We start from the raw sequence: 8,640 nt of genomic DNA, 5'->3' as shown, positions 1-8,640 counted from the left end.
CTGCGTTCCTGATTGGACGGTTCCCAGCCCAGCGTCTCTGATTGGATGATATTTAAGGCACCTTCTTTTCAGGCCCTGAGTGACAGAAGATGTGATCAGATGCTGGGCTGAAAGAAGAGCGAGTGACAGCCTAGGCTGCAGCCTTTTCAGACAGGGCTTCCTTCCTGAGCTGAGCCAGGCTCACACCAGAGAGTATTTGCCCTTACCTTGTGTATCAATTTATATGCATTCAAAAATAATATATTATATGGCTATTCACAAATGAACAAAGTATAACAACAATTGTTCTAAAATTTTAGATTTTATGACCTTCCTGTATTCTGGTCCTTTGAACAGGCAATCCTCTGAAATAAAATGTGAGTCACAGGTGAATTTTAAATTTTCTAGTAGCCAAACTTTAAAAAGAAAGAAGAAACAAGTGGAATTGATTGTAGCAATTTATTTAACCCAATATATTCAAAATATTTTCATTTTAATATGTGAGCAATATGTAATTATTAATGAAATATAAATACATTTGAAACAAAATCTTTGAAACTAATTCTGTATTTTACCTTTCTAGCACATCGCAGTTCAGACCAGCCACATTCCAGGCACCCAGGAGCCACACATGGCCAATAGCTGCCACATTGAAGTACAGCTGTGATGTCAGTGGGGGTGGAGGGCCTGAACACCCCTTTTCTGCCACAGGTGAGGGGACAGCCTCTATTTATCAACGTCTCTTTTCAGTTCCGAGGGTGAAACAAATAGTGGCTATAGAAAAAGCTGATGGCAGCAGGAATAAATCACAGGTAAACCACTGCTTACCACCTGTTGCCCATCTTTCTTTCAGAGATCAGACAGTGAGCAAAGGATGATGGGCCACAGGAGAAAAAAAACTATGTCTTCAGATCTGTTCACAGTCTTGACCTTTAATGTTTACATAGGAAGAAAATAGATTAAAGGCAAACTTATTTTGCTATTTGACCTCGACTCTAATGTTCAGGCTGTGGTTACCTGTTTTCTTCTGTGGTGTGGGAAACTGAGTGAATATAAGCACAATCACATGCATACATGTCCACATGTATTTCGGCATTTCTTTTTTTTGAGATGGAGTTTCACTCTTGTTGCCCAGGCTAAAGCGCAATGGTGTGGTCTTGGCTCACTGCAACCTCTGCCTCCTGGGTTCAAGCAATTCTCCTACCTCAGCCTCCCGAGTAGCTGGGATTACAGGCATGCACTACCACGCCCGGCTAATTTTTTGTACTTTTAGTAGAGACGGGATTTCTCCATGTTGGTCAGGCTGGTCTTGAACTCCTGACCTTAGGTGATCCAACCGCCTTGGCCTCCTAAAGTGCTGGGATTATAGGCATAAGCCACCACCCCTGGCCATATTTCTGCATTTCTCAACATTATCTTACAAGACATCTAACTTTAAATCGGGAAAAATATCAGTACTTTTATGGTGCCCAATGTTAGAAGGTAACTAGTAATCAACCTGTTATTAAATCTTGGCATTCTATCTGCACTGGGTGCACATATTAGTTAACTATGGCAGCATAATGAACCATCCAAAACTGATTTGCTCATAATTGAAATGCTCAGCCATTTAGGCTGGGCTCAGTGGGGCCATTCTTCTGTTCTCAGCTGAGCTCCTTCAGACATGTATCATGAGCTGCTCATTGACTAGGAAAGCAGCAGCTGTGCTTGTAGAGGTGAGCTTCTGCTTCTGGGACTGTCAACAGGGATACCTTACTTCTCCTCTTCATAGTATCTTATACTCCAGTTGGCTAATATGGGCTTTTTTCTTTTCTTTTTTTGAGACGGAGTCTCGTTCTGTCGCCCAGGCTGGAGTGCAGTGGTGCGATCTCTGCTCACTGCAAGCTCCACCTCCTAGGTTCAAGTGATTCTCATGCCTCAGCCCCCTGAGTAGCTGGGACTACAGGTGCCCACCACCACACCCGGTTAATTTTTTTGTATTTTGAGTAGAGACGGGGTTTCACTGTGTTAGCCAGGATGTTCTCGATCTCCTGACCTCTTGATCTGTCCATCTTGGCCTCCCAAAGTGCTGCGATTACAGGCACCAGCCACCGTGCCTGGCCTAATATGGGCTTTTTTTCATGAATATGGCAGCATTCTGAAAGAAAAACAGAAGCAGGCCGGACATGCTGGCTCATGCCTGTAATTCCAGAACTTTAGTAGGCCAAGACAGGTGGATCACATTAGGTCAGAAGTTTGAAACGAGTCTGGCCAACATGGCGAGACCTCACCTCTACTAAAAATACAAAAATTAGCTGGGTGTGGTAGCATATACCTGTAGTCCTAGCTACTCAGAAGGCTGAGTCAGGAGAATTGCCTGAATCTGGGAGGTGGAGGTTGCAGTGAGCCAAGATCATGCCACTGCACTCCAGCCTGGATGACAGAGAAAGACTCCTTCTCAAAAAAAGAAAAAAACAGAGAAAAGAAAAGGAAAGAAAAGAAAAGCAGAAGCAGTCAAAACTGTTTGAGCCTAGGCTCCAAACCAACACATTGTCATGTTCTCAGGTTTCTACTGCCATGAGCAAATAAGGCCAGCCAGATCAAGCGTTTGGAAAATAGATTCTGACTCTTCATGGGAATGGCTGTAAAAGCACCTGTCAATGTACATGGATACAGGAGGGATGAAAAATTGCTACCATATTTGCAATCAGTATCCTTCTGCTTTTTTTTTTTTTTTTTTTTTTTTGAGATGGAGTCTCATTCTGTCACCAGGCTGGAGTGCAGTGGTGTGATATTGGCTCACTGCAACCTCTGCCTCCTGTGTTCAAGTGATTCTTGTGCCTCAGCCTCCCATGTAGCTGGTATTACAGGCCCACACCAACACACCCAGCTAATTTTTGTATTTTTAGTAGAGATGGGGTTTCTCCATGTTGGCCGGGATGGTCTTGATCTCCTGACGTCGTGATTCACCCAATTCAGCTTCCCAAAGTGCTGGGGTTACAGGCGTGAGCCACCATGCCCAGTCCATTCTGCTTTTTCTGCATATGTAGTCTGTAGAACTCTTCCACATCAAGAAATTGTCCAAACACTCACAGCTTCTAAGTGGCTGGGCCGGGACTCAGGATCAACTCTGTCTGACTTCAAAGCCTATGTACCTCCATGGATCACACTACTCAAGTAGCTGCCCTAGACTCTTAAAACCCTGGAGAGTGACACTTCTAAAATAAAAACCAGATTGCTTGTAGATTTGTGCCCATAAAGTACTATTTATTATTGGAAATAATCTCGAGAAATTACTGAAGCACATGGTGGCCTTAAATCCTTAATTCCAATACTTTGGGAGGCTTGGGAGGCTGAGATGGGAGAATCATTTAAGCTCAGGAGTTCAAGTGCAGCCTGGGCAACATAATAAGATCCTGGCTCAATAAAAGAAATTTAAAAAATTAACCAGGCATGATGATACTCAGGTGTCTAGGGCAGGAGGATTGTTTAAGACCGGAAGGTGGAAGCTGGATTAAGCCATGATTGATTACACGACTACACTCCAGCCTGGTTGATAGAGTGAGACTCTATTTCAAACAAAATGAAAAAACAAAAAAGAAATTGCAAAAGCATTTTGAAAGAACATAGAATAATTTGGAAAAAATAGCTGACATAGCTGATATAGAGTAATTTGGAAAACATAACTTATTTTAGATAATCAAAGCCCTACAACACATCACTTATTTTTTATCATAGAACAAATTTGAGGCCGGGCGTGGTGGCTCACACCTGTAATTCCAGCACTTTGGGAGGCTGAGGCGGGCAGATCACGTGATGTTGGGAGTTCGAGACCAGCCTGACCAACATGGTAAAACCCCGTCTCTACTGAAAATACAAAATTAGCCAAGCATGGTGGCTCGCTCCTGTAATCCCAGCTACTCAGGAGGCTGAGGCATGAGAATCACTTGAACTCGGGAGGCGGACATTGCAGTGAGCCGAGATCGCGCCACTGCACTCCAGCCTGGGCAACAGAGTGAGACACTGTCACACACACACACACACAAAAAAATATATATATATACACATATATATACATGTATATATACTTGTATATATATATGAAAGAAAACATTTGAAAACTTTTAAAAGAAAAATAACTTCAGAGAAATTAAATTTAACATAGTTTAATTAAGCAAATAATAATTTGCAAATTAAGTAGTCTGTGGGACCTGAGTAGCCTCAGAGAGAATCCAGCACAGCCACATGGTAAAAAAGATTTATGCACAGGAAAAGCAAAGTGACATACAGAAAATAGAAGTGGTACAGAAATAACCAGATTAATTACAGTTTGGGATTTGCCTTATTTGAATATGGCTTGAACAGTTGATGTTCTTTTATTGGCACAAACATAGTGGTTGGTACATGAATAGGTAACAATCTATTTAGATATCCAGTTAGGTTTTAGTTAACTATGTACAGAAAAACCTATTGACCGAAATTAAACATAAAAGGGGTTAACTTTAGGCTATAATTAATTTAACAATATTTCTCATTTGGTTAGCTTCTCAATTTTGAGAAATAACCCCAAACTTTAGACATCGATATTACTTTGTCACCATCAAAAATTTACTTATGGACGGGCATGGTGGCTCATGCCTGTAACCCCAGCACTTTGGGAGTCCAAGGCAGGCGGATCACAATGTCAGGAGTTCAAGACCAGCCTGGCCAATATGGTGAAACCCCATCTCTACTAAAAATATGAAAATTAGCCCATCGTGGTGGCGGGCACCCATAGTCCCAGCTACTCGGGAGGCTGAGGCAGGAGAATTGCTTGAACCTGAGAGGCAGAGGTTGCAGTGAGCCGAGATCATGCCACTGCACTCCAGCCTGGGTGACAGAGTGAGACTCCGTCTCAAAAAAAGGAAAGAAAAGAAAAGAAAAAAGATGTATTTAGTCTCAATTTCCACTGTAAAATAGTAGAACTGTGGGTTTTGTAAAGTGAAAAAAGGGACTTCAGGTTATTATTGTTTAAAAGGATTACAGTGGATGGGACCTCCTTGTATTGATATCTGCTGTTTGCAAAAGAAAAACAAGACCTGGTCAGTTTTAGAATCTACCTATTTCTTTAAATTTTCAGTTTAACTATGTCACATTTAGCATGAATGACTAATTGGTTCATTTTGGTCTGTTTGGGCCCAGTGAACAAGCTCAGTCCAGGATGATGGCCTCCAATAATTTTGTTTAAAAAGATTCCCCCCTTTTGATTAAGTTTTCACATAGATCGGAGTGTAACCAAACCTCAGAGTTTTAATGTCACTCTCAGTTTTCATTATTTTAGGTTTCCGTTCTTATCAGATCATTCATAGGTTATGGTGTTCTCATGGTCAAATACATCTTCAAGTTTTCATCATTCCAGTTAAAGAGAGATCACTTGGCATTCTAGAGATGACTGCATGCAAAGATTTATAATTTTTGAGAGAATAGAGTGCAGTAGGGTGACTATTATTTTGACTATCAGGAAAATAATATCAAGAGTTTGAAGTATGGATTTATTTATTTATTTATTTATTTATTTATTTATTTATTTATTTATTTATTTTGAGACGAAGTCTTGCTCTTGTCACCCAGGCTGGAGTGCAATGATGTGATCTTGGCTCACTGCAACCTCTGCCTCTGGGATTCAAGGGATTCTCCTGCCTCAGCCTCCCAAGTAGCTGGGATTATAGACTTGTGTCACCACAGCTGGCTAATTTTTGTATTTTTAGTAGAGACGGGGTTTCAACATGTTGGCCAGATTGGTTTCAAACTCCTGACCTCAAGTGATCCACCTGCCTTGGCCTCCCAAAGTGCTAGGATTACAGGCATGAGCCACCATGCTCAGCCTGAAGTATGCTTTTTAACCGAGGTCCCCATTGAACCAACCAACTATGATTAAATAGATCAAATGATTAGCTAGATAAGTGGTCTCCTCATTTCAACCAAGCAGTGTGTTCATTAATCCCCTACAACTGAATCTCTGTAATACTCGATGTATTTCTCCATGTGCAACTACAAATACTAGCAACTGCACAGATACTTCTCTGTTTATCCAGTAAGTAAACTAGATAAATTCTTTTATTTAGCACAACTTTAGTAAAAAATTTTAAAGTCTATTGGGTAACCATAGCCTTTACAGTAGAATCTGCTATTGAGCCTATTATGGAAGATAAATTTCCAACCATAGCCTCATTTACTCTAAGCCTTTGAAAGAAAGACCTAACGAATAATGACCACTCAGAAGAGTAATGGCCTCCTGGCAATGTGCTCTAACTTATTCTGCATAAGTTTCTCTTTAAGTCAATATTGCTCCAAGAGCAGTGGATAAATATTCTGTTTCTTATATTATGAGACAACAAATTTCCCATGTCACATTTAGCAAGAATGCGAGACATTTCTTATTTCTCACCTATAGTGGCCCTTCATCTTTTACCTATCCAGACATAAGTTTGTTGATATATAAGGTTAGTTGTGAAATTATTTACATATATAAGTATACCCCAAAAGTGCACACAAGAGATCCCTTTTTTATTTCTGTTGTTTGTAGAGCCATTAAAAAAGTGAACTAGGAGTGTCATGATAGAAGAGATGTCTTTGTTTTTGATCTTCTGGAGAAAGCTATCAATGTCAAGGTTGCCATCTGCTTTTGAGGAGAAGCTTCTCTGCTTAGATTTACCTAAAAGTCTCCAATTAAGATCTCCAGTATGATTGCAAGAGTTTAGAGGGCCCTTTGTGAGTTTAAAGATTATGAACCCAAGGTTTAAGATCCCAAAATCTTGATGCAGTGTAAGTGGCAAGCAGACTCATTCTCTTTGTTCTAGATTATAAAAGGTTTTCCTGTTCCCAGTCAGTAGATGATTAAAAGCTTTTCTGGCCAGGAGCAATGGCTGAACAGGTTCACACTGTGATGAAGGAGTGGGTTACAGTGAATAGGTTCCTTCTGTAATGAATGAGTGGGTGACAGTGAACAGGTTCCCACTGTGATGTCTGTGTGAGTGACAGTGAACAGGTTCCCACTGTGGTGAATGAGTGGGTGAGAGTGAACAGGTTCCCACTGTGTTGAGTGAGTGGGTGAGAGTGAACAGGTTCCCACTGTGATGAGTGAGTGACTGACAGTGAACAGGTTCCCACTGTGGTGAATGAGTGGGTGAGAATGAACAGGTTCCCACTGTGGTGAATGAGTGGGTGAGAGTGAACAGGTTCCACTGAGGTGAGTGAGTGGCTGACAGTGAACAGGTTCCCACTGTGGTGAAGGGGTGTCAGACAGTGAACATGTTCCCCCTGTGATTAATGAGTGGGAGACAGTGAACAGATTCCACTGTGATGAATGAGTGTGTGACAGTGAACAGGTTAATCCTGTAATAAATGAGTGGGAGGCAATGAACAGGTTCCCAATATGATGATTGTGTGGGTGACAGTGAACAGGTTCCCACTGTGGTGAATGAGTGGCTAAAATTGAACAGGTTCCTACTGTGGTGAATGAATGCCTGACAGTGAATAGGTTCCCACTGTGATGAATGAGTGGCTGATTGTGAAAAGGTTCCCTCTGTGATGAGTGAGTGGGTGCGAGTGAACAGGTTCTGACTGTGGTGTATGAGTGGGTGAAAATGAACAGTTTCCCACTGTGATGAGTGAGGGGCTGACAGTAAACAGGTTCCCACTGTGGTGACAGGGTGGCTGACAGTGAACAGGTTTCTATAGCGGTGAACGAGTGGGTGACAGTGAACTGGTTCCCACTGTGATGCATGAGCGGCCAAAGTGAAAAAGTTCCCACTGTGGTGAATGAGTGGGTGACAGTGAAAAAAATTCTAAGATGGTGAACCTGTGGATGACAGTCATCAGGTTTCTCCTGTAATGAATGAGTGGCTGACAGTAAACAGGTTTGCACTGTGATGAGTGAGTGGGTGAGACTGAACAGGGTTCTACTGTAATGAATAAGTGGGTGACAGTGAACACGTTCTCACAGTGATGAATGTGTTGGTGACAGTGAACAGGTTCCCACTGTGATAAATTAGTGGCTGACAGAGAACAGGTTCCCACTGTGGTGAAAGGGTAAGCGACAGTGAAAAAATTCCCACTCTGGTGACTGAGTGACTGACAGTGCACAGGTTTCTACTGCAGTGATTGAGTGGGTGACAGTGAACTGGTTCCCACTGTGGTGAATGAGTGGCTGACAGGGAAAAGGTTTCCATTGTGATGAATGAGTGCTGACAGTGAACACGTTCCTACTGTGGTGAATGAGTGTGTGACTGTCAACAAGATTCTACTGTTTTGAACGAGGGGGTGACAGTGATCATATTCCTCTGGTAATGGATGAGTAGGTGACAGTGAAGAGGTTGCCACTGTGATTAGTGATTGGGTGAAAGGGAAAAGGTTTCTACTGTGGTGAACGAGTGGGGGACAATGAACACGTTCTTACTGTGGTGAATGAGTGGCTGAGAGTAAACAGGTTCCCACTATGATTAATGAGTGGGTGACAGTGAACAGAGTCCCACTGTGATGAATGAGGGGGTGACAGTGAACAGGTTCCCACTGGGTAAATGAGCGGGTGAGAGTCAACAGTTTAGCACCGTGATGAGTGAGTGGGTGACAGTGAACAGGTTCCCGCTGTGGTAAATGAGTGGGCGACAGTGAACAGGTTTCCAAAGTGGTGTATAAGTGGCT

General features: G+C 42.1%; 1 pseudogene; it reads right to left on the bottom strand.

Moving 5' to 3' along the window:
• Positions 6,978 to 7,743, bottom strand: LOC100418993 (proline rich 21 pseudogene; annotated as a pseudogene).

The sequence above is a fragment of the Homo sapiens genome, chromosome 19, assembly GCF_000001405.40.
Source record: "Homo sapiens chromosome 19, GRCh38.p14 Primary Assembly".
In the NCBI taxonomy this organism is placed as follows: domain Eukaryota; kingdom Metazoa; phylum Chordata; class Mammalia; order Primates; family Hominidae; genus Homo; species Homo sapiens.
The sequence above is the reverse complement of the archived record's forward strand: the minus strand, read 5'-3'. Positions and strand labels throughout refer to the sequence as shown.